This window comes from Homo sapiens, chromosome 22 (genome assembly GCF_000001405.40).
Source record: "Homo sapiens chromosome 22, GRCh38.p14 Primary Assembly".
NCBI classification, from domain to species: Eukaryota; Metazoa; Chordata; class Mammalia; order Primates; family Hominidae; genus Homo; species Homo sapiens.
The window spans coordinates 41,763,576-41,777,659 of record NC_000022.11 but is presented as its reverse complement, the minus strand read 5'-3'; the positions used below and the strand labels follow the sequence as shown (position 1 = coordinate 41,777,659).

The 14,084-nt window shown below is 45.2% G+C and overlaps 1 protein-coding gene across 30 annotated transcripts in view; it reads right to left on the bottom strand.

Moving 5' to 3' along the window:
* Positions 1-14,084, bottom strand: part of MEI1 (meiotic double-stranded break formation protein 1) — a 99,952-nt gene that overhangs the window by 21,795 nt on the left and 64,073 nt on the right. For 26 of the 30 annotated variants that reach the window (XR_937820.2, XR_937819.2, XM_011529945.4 and 23 more), the window contains 2 exons: positions 6,699-6,974; positions 1,393-1,558 (listed from right to left, as the gene is read on the bottom strand). Coding sequence is in view for 27 of the 30 variants with exons in the window: in XM_011529945.4 (XP_011528247.1) it covers positions 1,393-1,558; positions 6,699-6,974 (442 nt within the window). In the remaining 3 variants the exon portion in view is untranslated. Of the gene's footprint in view, positions 1-1,392; positions 1,559-6,698; positions 6,975-9,961; positions 10,085-14,084 lie in introns of those variants that run through there. The other 4 variants (XR_007067959.1, XM_011529943.3, XM_011529955.2 and 1 more) reach the window with 3 other exon arrangements.

The following is a 14,084-nucleotide window of genomic DNA, read 5'->3' as shown; positions in this document are numbered from 1 at the left end:
TGAATCCAATGCCCATGGCCTTCCCACTATGTTTCCACTACATCTTAAGGTTCTTAACCAGTATTATCAGCTAAACATGGCTTGTCCTTCCCTGAAAAGAAATAACTCATCTCCTCTTGACACCTTTAAATCTACTTCCAAACCCTCAGTCCTCTGTCAGGTAGCCACAGATTGCCTTTCGCTTTGCTTAGAAATATAATTTTAGGCCGAGTGTGGTAGCTCACACCTGTAATCCAAGCACTTTGGGAGGCTGAGGCGGGCGGATCACTTGAGGTCAGGAGTTCGAGACCAGCCTGGCCAATATAGTGAAACCCACCTCTAATAAAAATACAAAAAATTAGCCAGGTGCAGTGGCGCATGCCTGTAATTCCAGCTACTATGGAGGCTGAGGCAGAAGAATCACTTGAACCCAGGACGTGAAGGTTGCAGTGAGCCGAGATCACGCCACTGCACACCAGCCTGAACGACAGAGTGAGACCCTCTCTCAAAAAAAAAAAAAAATTATTTTTAAAATTCAGCTTCTCTAAAAATAGAAAAAAACTAAGCTGGGCGCAGTGGCTCACCCCTGTAATCCAACCACTTTGGGAGGCTGAGGTGGGCGGATCACTTGAGCTCAGGGGTTTGAGACCACCCTGGGCAACATGGTGAAACCCCGTCTCTCCTGAAAATACAAAAAAATTAGCTGGGTGTCGTGGCACACACCTGTAAGTCCCAGCTACTTGGGAGGCTGAGGCACAAGAATTGCTTGAACCTGGAAAGTAGAGGTTGCAGTGAGCAGAGATCTTGCCACTGCACTCCAGCGTGGGTGACAGAGTGAGACTGTCTCAAAAATAAAATAATAATAAAATAAATACATAAAATATAAAATAAATAAATACAATAAAATAAACCAATCCAAATTTTCAGTGTCTCCATACTGTACCAAACATCAAGCTTCCTTGACTCCAGTGAGTACCATTCCAGATTTGGAAACTAATCCCCCGGATCTCACTAGGAGCTTCCAACACATCACAGATCCACCTCCCTCCCCAGCCCCTGCGGACTGCTGCTGCCTCCATCCTCCTCCAGATTTCTCACTTTCTTCTTCCCACAGGGGGCTGCCATGCTTGTGACAAACAACACTGAGCACATGCTGCACAGGGTGGGGATATGCATGCACACATCAAACACATCCACTCATGTTAAACACACACACAGCAAACCAAGCATGTTGTACGCCCACTCTGCAGTGAGAGAAAGGAGGTGAAGTTTAGCTTGATGCCACAATGGCCTGGCTTTCTTTTTCAGATAAAACCCTGATTCTCTCTCCTGGAGCAGACCTAACAAGGGTAGAGATGCCCATTCTCGACTGGCTTTCAGGTCAAAGTGTGCCCACAGCACCTGCAGACTGACCTCCTGATGGGGATGCCCCATGCTCCACTAGCAGACGCTGCAGGATCAGCAGGAAGTGGCCTCGGATAAGACCGCCCACTTGGATATCCTCATTCCTCCTCAGGAAGGTCCTCAGGCTAATCAGTACCTTGTGAGCTGTGTCCACTGGGCTGGAATAGATGAGGTCCTGAGCAGGAGAGAAGAAAGCCAGAGATCAGAGGGTACTGCAGTTGGGGAAAAGTGACAATGAGGAATAGAGGGGCAGGAAAAGGGCCCATAATTATGATGTCACAAAAACTGGGTAATCTGTCACTTACTCAGCACCTATTATGTACCAAAGGCTCTTCTAGGTGCACTGACGCCTCAAAACCATCCCTTAGAATAGGTCCATCCTAGGCCGTGCATGGTGGCTCACGCATGTAATCCCAGCACTTTGGGAGGCCAAGGCGGGTGGATCACGAGGTCAGGAGATTGAGACCATCCTGGCTAACACGGTGAAACCCCGTCTTTACTAAAAATACAAAAAAATTAGCTGGGCGTGGTGGCAAGTGCCTGTAGTCCCAGCTACTCCGGAGGCTGAGACAGGAGGATGGCATGAACCCGGGAGGCGGGGCTTGCAGTGAGCCGAGATCGCACTACTGCACTCTAGACTGGGTGACAGAGCAAAACTCTGTCTCAAAAAAAAAAAAAAAAAGAATAGGTCCATCCTATTAAATCCATCCTAAACAGGAGAAAACAGGCTCAGAGAGATTACATGACTTGCTAAAGGTCATATAAGCCAGTGGCACAGACAGAATTTGAATGCAAGTCTCCTAACTCCAAGCCCAAAGCTCTATTTTCCAGGATGCCTCCCTCCTGCAAATGGTAGGATTAGGGTCAAGAGGTTGTTTTCAAGACAGGGAACCTGAGTGTGCCTTAAAGAAGAGAAGAAGGAAAGAGAAATGATGTCACTGGGCAGGCAGAGGATAAATTAGGACAGATTCAGTGCACAGAAAGGCAAGTGAGGACCAGGTCAGGCCCGTTCTCTACCAAGGCATCTGGTTATCTCTGCCCCAAGCTATAAAGGTCTTAGGCTCGGAAGATGGGAAGATGCTTTTTATTTTGCTTTCAGAGTTATTTTAGTGAGTATATGTTAAAGACAAAGCCAGTCAGAAAGCTGCACCAGAGGCTACCCTACTGATAGCTCCTGGCACCTGCTAGCTCAAAGAAGCCAATTCCTTTGGACAGGCTAATGCGCTGGGCCAGTTAGGACTGAGGGTTATGAATCCAAGGTCACACAGACTCCCTCTCCAGGGAGGACAGCTACTGACACACAGAGAGATATGGCTACAATGCATCTGGCCAGACAAACCCAGGTGTGCTGATCACTGGGCAGAAGGAGAGGGATGGGGTCACAGGGATGTCTAAGTTTGGCTCTCAGAAACCTCCGCAGTTGCTGGAAAAACAACTATATATCAATAACAACCACTCAGGGCCTAATAATGTCAGGTACTATGTTGTGTTTATACAGTAGCTGTATATTTGTTTATACATTATTTATACCTCTACAATAACTCTTCCATATAGGTGTCACCCCAATTTTTCAAATGAGAAAACTGGGGCAGGTTAATCAGTTTGCATATCAAGAAAGTAATAAAGTTGTAAATTAAACTGCACTGTGAGTTAATGAAGGGAAGGGATGAGGTCTACTTCATCTTTGTCACCTTGTAGAGACTCAGAAAACATCTCTGAAAAGAAAAAGGTCACAGAATGGGAGGGCTAGAGAGAATCTAGATAATTTTTTCCAATACCTTTACTTTACAGAGTATGAGGCTGAAGCCCGACGGGAAGGGAGGGGCATGATTTGCCCAAGGTCATAGATCCCAGAGTCAAACCAGTTTCCTGGTCTTGTGCCTTCACCAACACATCACTGCCCCACTGCCACAGAGGTGGTCCCTCAGAAGTCTGAGTTAATGAATGTTAAAGGTATAAAAGGAAGGGGCTACTCAGCTTTGTGTGGCTATGGTGAATGCTGGAGGAAGAGGAACGTGAGGACCCCACCATATGGATCAGTGGGAAGGCTCTGGGCAAAACTATGACCCAATCTGTAGTCTCTGCTGTCCAGAACTCTCTGGGTCTTGACAGACCAGCGTAACTTGGCCAAAGAGGAAACAAACAGAGTTTCTGTGATGTCATTGTCCCTTCACATCTAAAAAACCTACATGAAAGACCACCCATTGATAAGAGTGGCAATTAACAGCTTTGTTTTCAGCTGTTAATTACCCATATAAAAAACAGAAATTGGTATCAACACAAAATTTTTAGACTCTTTTTCCTTCCTCTGGCTAGAAGCTGGGGAGAAATGGTAAGAATTATATATATGAACAGACAATAAAGTTGTTCCTTGCTGTTCTTTTGTTTTGTTTTGTGTTTTTGAGACGAAGTCTAGCTCTGTCGCCCAGGCTGGAGTGCAGTGGCTCGATCTTGGCTCACTGCAACCTCCGCCTCCTGGGTTCAAGCGATTCTTCTGTCTCAGCCTCCTGAGTGGCTGGGACTACAGGCACGTGCCACCATGCCCGGCTAATTTTTTGTATTTTTAGTAGAGACAGGGTTTCACCATGTTGACCAGGCTGGTCTCGAACTCCTGACCTTGTGACCCACCCGCCTCAGCCTCCCAAAGCGCTGGGATTACAGGCGTGAGCCACCGCGCCCGGCCTCCTTGCTGTTCTTTTTTTTTTTTTTTTTTTTTACCATTGATGTCTCTAGGATCTAAGTTAGTGAAAAACTTACTCACTTTGGGCTCTAGTCATAGCCATGACCCTTATTAACTATATGACCTTGGGCAATTCAATTAGCTTCTCTGAGATGAACTTTATCTGGTTCAGAGGCAGTCAATGATTAGTGAATGACAGCCCACTATGTGAAGCAAACCAAGAGTGTTCCTACATACTATCTCATCTACCCTCATGTTTTCTCCATTTTCTGTGGGAGAAAACTGAAGTTCAGATTAGCCTCTATCTTCCTAGTCCTCTATGCAACAACTCATCTTGAAGGCAGCTCCTTTCTGTTAAGCTCTATGCCAAGTGAAACACAAGACTCCTCTCTGCCCTGACCTCCACCACCTCCAGAAAGGAGAGGTGATAAGGATGGTGCACATTCAAGGACAAGGACTGGGTCACCAGGATAAATGGTGGGGCATCCACTCCAGCTTCCCTGGGATGTAGACTCTAAGTATTTGGTCTCCTGAGATTCAATTTCTGTTTGGTTTGCTTCTTTTAATATTTACATCCTGTGAAGTTAGTGGCCTAGCACAGCCTTCAGTTAGTGAGGGACCTCTCCATTCTAGGAAGACCCAGGCTGAGAAAGGGAATTTGGGAGAGGAGATAATGAGCTCCATTTTAGGCAGAAATGTCAAATAGATGGTTGACTTCATGGGTATGAGCTCAGGAGAGAGGTCAGGGGTGGTGCAGGGATTTGAGTCATCACCATACAGCCAGGAGGCAAACAAAGCCATGGGTGTGAATGAGATAACCCAGGAAGAATAAACAGACTGAGTAAAAAGAGAGCCTCAGACAGAACAACTGATAGATAGGGAGTCAAATCTGGGTTTTAATATTTTGATTTCCAACTCTTGTGACCATGGGCAAATCTCTCTAAGCCTATGTTTCATGTATTTAAAAAGAAAAAATGGCAGGTACAGTCGTTTATGCCTATAATCCCAACACTTTGGGAGGCCATGGTGGGAGGATCGCTGGAGCCCAGGAATTTGAGACCAGCTTGGGCAACATGATAAAACACTGTCTCTACAAAAAATATAAAAATTAGCCAGACACAGTAGCACATGCTTGTAGTTCCAGCTACTTGGTCTTGAACTCCTGACCTCAGGTGATTCACCTGGCTCGGCCTCCCAAAGTACTGGGATTATAGGCATGAGCTGCCACGCCCAGCCAATTCTAGTTACTTGGGAGGCTAAGGCAGGAGGATCACTTGAGCCCAGAAGATTGACGCTGCAGTGAGCCATGATCCTGCCACTGCACTCTAGCCTGGGCAACAGAGCAAGAAAAAAGAAAAAAAATAAAAATAAATAAGATATAGTCATGCTGTATCTTTTCTATGTTTAGATATACAAATGTCACTGTGTTACATTTGTCTACAATATTCAGTACAGTAACATGCTGTACAGGTTTGTAGCCTAGGAGTAACAGGTCATCCCATATACCTAGGTGTGTAGTAGGCTAGACCATCTAGATGTCTGTAAGTATACTCCATGATGTTGGTATGACAAAATCACCTAACACTGTGTTTCTAAAAATGTATCCCCATCATTAAGCAATGCATGACTGTATTGTCACTACTATCCCTGGACAGACTTAGATTGGTCTAGACCCATAATTCAATGGGTCATAATTTATAAGTACCTACTATGTGTGAAGAACTGACCCCGAATATTTCATCTGGTGAAGAAAACCTAGTATCTTAGTTCTGTCCCCTGCTACTCTCCTTGGTATCTAATTTGTTGTTCAATTTGCCTTCTTGAGTGGAAGGAAAAAAAGTGGAGTTAAAGCCAGCCACTAGGCAGTTTACCTTATCTAATCTAATTAGCCCATCTAATTCCTGATGGGAATTTCAGTAACGTACTTCACCAAAAAGTATTGACAGCCTGGGCAACCTGGTGAAACCCCATCTCTTAAAAAAAAAAGTAAAAAATTAGTTGGGTGTGGTGGCGTGCACCTGTAGTCCCAGCTACTCGGGAGGCTGAGGCAGGAGAATTGCGTGAACCCGGGAGGTGGAGGTTGCAGTGAGCCCAGATCATGCCACGGCACTGCACCCTGGGCAACAGTGTGAGACTGTGTCTCCAGAAAAAAAAGTACTGGGGCATCTGACAATTCTAGGTATGCCTGAGCAAGTAATGTACATATAATATTATCATGTAAGTCATGGCAAAAAAGAGGAGGAGTCCCTCTGCCATCAGAAATGTCCATCTACATGCCCCATGGGCTTCCTTTAACATTAAACCTGTGTCAGCAGAATCTGCTTGAGAGATGACAGGGAGGTGAGAGGGGATGGTGACTAAGATCTGCATTTCATAGTGTCATCCCCTGGGGGGAAGAGAGGCACACATCTCTCAGTTGGTAGACTTCCATTAGACTTAGGAAAGAGTATGGATTTACAGAAACTAGGCACCTACAAGTAGAAGAGACCACCACCCCTCCAACTCACATGCAGACAGTGATAAGTCTGGAGGTGGGCTGAAGCAGATGTGGGTGCCTCCTGACCTCAGTAAACCGGCTCTCAGAGAGAGAAGGCCCACGATTTCTGAATGTAGAAATGAATGAGTGGTTGCCTACCAGCAAGATGAGCAGGATGCTGGGGATGCTTCTGAGCAACTGGAACAGGACTACTAAGCTGGCAGGAAGGGCGGGCTGCCCAGCAGAGGTGACATCATCCAGTTCCTCATAGCTGCTCTCTTCCCAGAAGAACCAAAGTTCCAGGACACGGTGCCCATACCTACTCATGAGCTCTGGATACAACAGAAAGAACCTGAGCAGGAGCGGATGGTGAGTATAGACTAGCTGCAGGTCTGGGATGCCTTCTAGGAATTTTCTGATTGCACTGACCATAGTCTGGAGGCAAAACAAAGAAAGGAGGTAAATACACCTTGCAGAGGACCCAAGAGACCCCAACATGGCCAAGAGATGACTAGGAAAAATGTACTGTCATCTCAGTATTCCAGGACACCTTGGCTAGCTCATCCCAAGGCACTTTAGTGAGAAAATACCACTGTACTTACCTTATAACAGAAGTTATCAACTAGGGGTGATTTTGTCCCCATGGGACATTTGGTAAAGTCTGGAGACATTTTTTACTATCTTGATTGGGGGAATGCTATTGGGATCTAGTAGGGAGAGAGTGGGGATGCTGCTAAATATCCTACAAAGCTTATCACACAAGAATGATCTGGTGCAAAATATTAATAGTGCCGAGGTCAAGAAACCCAGCTTGATGATGGTACCACAGTGGGTTGTAATTGTCAGTGTGCATGTCTACTTCCCACACTAGACTGAAAGCTGCTTGAGGGTAGGGACTGTGGCAGATTAATCTGTGCACTTAGCATAGGGCCTGGCACAGAAGGGGTGAAGGGGAGATATGTTGAATAATTTCTTTTTTTTTTTCTGAGACAGAGTTTCGCTCCTGTTGCCCAGGCTGGAGTGCAATGGCATGATCTCGGCTCACCGCAACCTCTGCCTCCCGGGTTCAAGTGATTCTCCTGCCTCAGCCTCCTGAGTAGCTGGGATTACAGGCATGTGCCACCATGCCCGGCTAATTTTGTATTTTTAGTAGAGACGGAGTTCCTCCATGTTGGTCAGGCTGGTTTCAAACCCCTGACCTCAGGTGATCTGCCCGCCTTGGCCTCCTAAAGTGCTGGGATTACAGGTGTGAGCCACCGTGCCCGGCCTTGTTGAATAATTTCTTACTCCTCACAAACCTACCTCTTCCCATTGCATTCCCATAACAATGTTCAAATTTCTTAGTATGAGGCTGGGCGTGGGGGCTCATGCCTGTAATCCCAGCACTTTGGGAGGCTGAGGTGGGCGGATCACCTGAGGTCGGGAGTTTGAGACCAGCCTGGCCAACATGGAGAAACTCCGTCTCTACTAAAAATAAAAAATTTGCCGGGCATAATGGCACATGCCTGTAATCCCAGCTACTTGGGAGGCTGAGGCAGGAGACTCACTTGAACCCGGGAGGCAGAGGTTGTGGTGAGCCAAGATCACGCCATTGCACTCTAGCCTGGGTAACAAGAGTGAAACTCCATCTCAAAAAAAAAAAAATTCCTTAATATGCTATTATATGGGTTTTACAGTTTTGGCTCATTTAGGTCTTTCACTCATTGTGAGTTCATTTTTGTGTATGATATGAGTTAAGAGTCCAACTTCATTCTTTTGCATGTGTATATCTAGTTGTTCCTGAAAATTTTCTGAAAAGACAAATCTTCCCCCATTGAATTATCTTGGCATCCTCATCAAAAATTGACCATAAATGTATGGGTTTACTTCTGGACTCTCAATTCTATTTCATTGATCTATATGTCTACTCCTATGTCAGTACCACACTATCCTGATTACTATAGTTTTTTGCTAAGTTCCAAAATAAAAAAGGTATGAGTCTTCCAACTTTGTTCTTTTTTTTCAAGATTGTTTTGACTATTTTGCATTTCCATATGAATTTTAGGTTCAGCTTATTCATTTTTGCAAAAAAGTACAATTGGGATTTTGATACAGATTGCATTGAATCTACCGATCAATTTGGAGAGCACTGCCATCTTAAACTATTAAGTCTTCCAATTCATGAATGCAGTCTGTTAATTTAGATTTTTAATTAAGAAAAAAACTAGAGAAAAACAGTAATGTTTTGAAATTTTCACTATATAAGTTGATATGATTTGGATTTGTGTCCCCGCCCAAATCTCATGTCCAAATTATAATCCTCAGTGTTGGAGGAGGAGCCTGGTGGGAGGTGACTGGATCATGGGGGTGGACCTCCCCGTTGCTGTTCTTGTGATACTGAGTGAATTCTCATGAGCTCTGGTTGTTTTAAAGTTTGTAGCACCTCCCTTTTCACTCTCTTCCTCCTTCTCCAGCCATATAAGATATGCCAGCTTCCCCTTTGCTTTCTGCCATGACTGTAAGATTCCTGAGACCTCCTCAGCCATGCTTCCTGTATAGCCTGTGAAACTGTGAGTCACATAAATCTCTTGTCTTTATAAATTACTCAGTCTCTGGTAGTTCTTTATAAGAATGCGAGAACTGACTAACACAAAGTCCTTATACTTTGTTAAGTTATATTCCCAAGTATTTAATTTCTTGATGCTATTGTAAATGGAATTGTTCCCTTAATTTCATTTTTTTTTTTTTTTTGGGAGACAGGGTCTCACTATGTCACCCAGACTGGAATGCAGTGGCGCAATCTCAGCTCACAGCTCACTGCAACCTCCGCCTCCAGGATTCAAGCAATTCTCCTGCCTCAGCCTCCCGAGTAGCTGGGACTACAGGCGCATGCCGCCACGCCCAGCTAATTTTTTGTATTTTAGTAGAGACAGGGTTTCACCATGTTGCCCAGGCTGCTCTCAAACTCCTGAGCTCAGTCAATCCGCCCGCCTCGGCCTCCCAAAGTGCTAGGATTACAGGCGTGAGCAACTGCGCCCGGCCTAATTTCATTTTCAAGCATGTTAATAAAGACTTAAGTCTACCTTTTCAGCTCCTCTCTATTCTACCTCCCATATGACTTAGCTAAGGCACATTAAGCTAGGCTTCCTTCCTTGAATGGATAGATTGGGCATCTTCCCACTTCTGTACATTAAATCATACTCTGCTCTCAGCTTCAAAGTTCTCCCTTCACCTCCTCCATCTCCTCCACAAAGCCTCTCCTGATGCTATATAATGCTTTGCTGGTTCTTGACCAGTCCCCCAGCTCCAGGAGAGCACTCATTACTGTAGCTGCCTGACCCATAGGAGATCTTTTTGTCTCTCCTGACAAACTTGTGTTCTCTGAGGGCAAGGAACTTGTTTGATTCATTTCAGACCTGACAGGGCCCCACATGGTACCTAGCTCATGTCAAGTGGTCAATCCACATTGGTTGAGTAGCTGAAATGTTGAGAAGCAAATAAAAAATCATCGGCATAGAGTTGTGTTCAACAGCTTAGGAAATGCTGATCAAACTGCAATGAAGTTGCTGAAAAGGAAGAGTTTCCAGGCATAAGTAAGGCCTGACACTCTGAAATATCCATCCCCACAGAGACACCCACACTCTGGCTATTGGGGATCCTCAGACACATACCTTAACACACATCAGTGTGTATCTCCTCCACTGCTTCCACAAAGGCTCAAAGACCATGAGAATCAGAAAGGATCTCAGAGATAACTCTGCCCAAGGCCCAGAAAGGGAAGGAGATCTCGCCAGGAAGGCCCAGAACATTAGCAACAGAACGAGAATGTGGACCCAGGAGTCCTGCCTTTCTGCACAATGCATGTATACAAGGTTACCCTGCTTCTACATAAAGGGCATTCACAGGTAAATGGTACCAAGGAAGCCTTTTCATAAAGATACCACATAAAGAAGGTGACATCAGAGACAGAAGCCAAGGAAAGGCCTGGGAGCTAGCAGGCAAATTTTATGGGGAAGACGTCCACGAGCCTCCTGAAGGTGCCCCTTGCAGCACTACCTCATCTAGGCAGTCCCATTGCTCACCAAGGACCTCAGTGACCATGGAGGGTGCTCCTCTACCCACACCTCTTTAGCCCAACCAGCTGCCCAGAACAAAGAGCTTCCCTGCCTCCAGTAGCTTGATGGTCCCTGTTCTGCCTTCTAAACTCTTTCACCTCCCTTCTAACCTTTCTTTTCACTCTAATCAGAACAACTTCCTGATAAACTAGGGCAACGTGAATCTACACGAGTAATTCTCAAAAATAATACTGGAGACAGGAGCAGTGGCTCACACCTGTAATCCTAGCACTTTGGGAGGCTAAGGCAGGGGGATTGCCTGAGCCCAGGAGTTTGAGACCAGTCCGTCTCTACAGGAAATAAAAATAATTAGCCAGGCATATGCAGTGGTGCATGCCTGTGGTACCAGCTACTCAGGAAGCTGAGGTGGGAATATTGCTTGAGCTCAGGAGGTCAAGCCTGCAGGGAGTTGTGATCACACCACTGCACTCCAGTCTGGGTGACAGAGCAAGACCCTGTCTCGAAAAATAATAATAATATTGAGTAAAATGAATAATAAAAAGAAAGAAAACGTCCATACAGTAGAATTCCAACTAAAAAATATAGAAGGAATTGTAAGCCAGGCACGGTGGCTCACACCTGTAATCCCAGCACTTTGGAAGGCTGAGGCGGGTGGATCAGAAGGTCAGGAGTTCGAGACCAGCCTGGCCAACATGGTGAAACCCTGTCTCTACTAAGAACACAAAAATTAGCCAGGCATGGTGGCACGCACCTGTAATCCCAGCTACTTGGGGCACTGAGGCAGGATAATTGCTTGAACCCGAGGCAGAGGTTGCAGTGAGCAGAGATCGCGCCACTGCACTCCAGCTTGGGCGACAGAGCAAAACTCTGTCTCAAAAAACAAAAACCGTATGGCCGGCACGGTGGCTCATGCCTGTAATCCCAGCACTTTGGGAGGCCGAGGCGGGCAGATCAAGACCATCCTGGCTAATACGGTGAAACCCCGTCTCTACTAAGAAATACAAAAAATTAGTCAGGCATGGTGGCGGGTGCCTGTAATCCCAGCTACTCAGGAGGCTGAGGCAGGAGAATGGTATGAACCCGGGAGGCGGAGGTTGCAGTGAGCCGAGATCACGCCACTGCACTCTCTAGCCTGGCGACAGAGCAAGACTCCGTCTAAAAAAAAAAAAAAAAAAAAAAAAAGAACATTTTGGTATAGTGAAATTTGACTATTGATGACTAAGGATTACACAATATTATATACAATGTTAAATTTCTTGATTTTGATCACTGTACACTGATTATGTAACAGAGAAAGTCCTAATTCTTAGGAAATACAAATTGAAGTATTTATGAATAAAATGACTCTCTGAAAATTATTTTCAAGTGGTTCAGAAAAAAAGAATAAGGGGGTGGGGATGGGAAGAGAGAGAATGCAAATGAGATAAAAATAAAAATTGGTGAATCTGGCTAATCGGTGTCTTTGAACTGTTCTTGAAATTTTTTTGTAAGATGAAATAATATCAAAATAAAATTGAGTAGAAAAATCAAGTTGTGATTGTATGTTGCCCTTTATATATTTATACTAAATTTTATCTTATTTTTTGAGACAACGTCTTACTCTGTCACCCAGGCTGGAGTGCGGTGGCATGAACATGGCTCACTGCAGCCTCGACCTCTTGCGCTCAAGTAATCCTCCCACCTCAGCCTTCCCAGTAGCTGGGACCACAGGTGCGCACCACCATACCTGGCCAATTTTTAAAAATTTTCTGGCTGGGCACGGTGGCTCATGCCTGTAATCCCAGCACTTTGAAAGGCTGAGGTGGGTGGATCGCCTGAGGTCAGGAGTTAGAGACCAGCCTGACCAACATGTTGAAAACCCGTCTCTACTAAAAATACAATAATTAGCTGGGCGTGGTGGCACATGCCTATAATCCCACTGTAATCCCAGCTACTCGGGAGGCTGAGGCAGGAGAATTGCTTGAACCTGGGAAGCGGAGGTTACAGTGAGCCAAGATGGCGCCATTGCACTCCAGCCTGGGAAACAAGAGCAAGACTCTTGGTTGTTCAATTATTAGAACTTTTCATTTTGAAGCAAAGGCTTCTCAGGTCATGAACATTATTAGTATTCTGAAAAAAAAAATCAAGACTGAAGTTCAAGTAACTTTCTCTAGGTCACACAGTTAACTGATGCGGGAGTCGGACTCCAGCTCAGACTTGACTGACTCCTAAGGCTCATTCCTTAGTACCACCTCTGGTTGGTACAGGAGCAAAGAGCTCTAAGGTATTGGTATCTTCTTCTGGTAACAGTTTATTAAAGAAAGTGGATTGCTGGGACTCAGATCATTGTTAATTAGGCTATTGGATCACTTTCGTGGTGGTTGTGTGTGGACAAGTTTTCTCTCTCCAGCTTCCTTATAAACTCCTGGAATCAAGGACCACGTCTGATTCATCACTGAACCTCTCACCTATTTCATAGAATATTGCTTCTGTTCCTTAGTGTGGACCCTTCAGTCTAAAGCTAAAGGCACTCTTCCTCCATTGACTATTAATTTTGCCTCTTTTTGATTACTGTTGAGGCAAATGTGATGAGAGTAGACCTGGTTTAATTTGAGTGGAAACAGAAAGGCATAGTGGAAGTGAATGGGTTTTCAAGTAAGACACACCTGGGCACACAATGTCCTGTTGTCTCTCTCTTTGTGCTAGTAGCAGCCACTGGTGATCATTGCCTAGATCCACTAATTAATTAGGGATTACAAAACAATAATATTCTAGTTCTGTCATTATCTGTTTATTAACTTAAATACTTGTATAAAAGGAAACTTCCAGCCGGGCACGGTGGCTCACGCCTGTAATCCCAGCACTTTGGGAGGCCGAGGCGGGCAGATCACGAGGTCAGGAGATTGAGACCATCCTGGCTAACAGGATGAAACCCCGTCTCTACTAAAAATACAAAAAATTAGCCGGGTGTGGTGGCGGGCGCCAGTAGTCCCAGCTATTCAGGAGGCTGAGGCAGGAGAATGGCGTGAACCCAGGAGGTGGAGGTTGTGGTCAGCAGCGATCCTGCCACAGCGATCCTGCCACTGCACTCCAGCCTGGGTGACAGAGCGAGACTCCGTCTCAAAAAAAAAAAAAAAAAAAAAGGAAACTTCCCCTCATTAACTATTCAGTTACTCTGAAGGGTTAGATTAGATTACATAGGAAACATAGGTTAAGTGCTTGATTCTTTTCCTGTGGTTACCAGTTTTCAAAAACATGAGTTTGTTGCATAGCATCCTCCAAAGGTGACCAAAGAGTTGTTGTTTTTTTTTAATTTTTAATATTTTGTAGAGACAAGGTCTTACTATGTTGCCCAGGCTGGTCTTGAACTCCTGGCTGAGGCAGGAGAATCGCTTGAACCCAGAAGGTGGAGGTTGCAGTGAGCCGAAATCACACCATTGCACTCCCGAACTCAAGTGATCCGCCCACCTCAGCCTCCCAAAGTGCTGGGATTATAGACGTGAGCCACCGT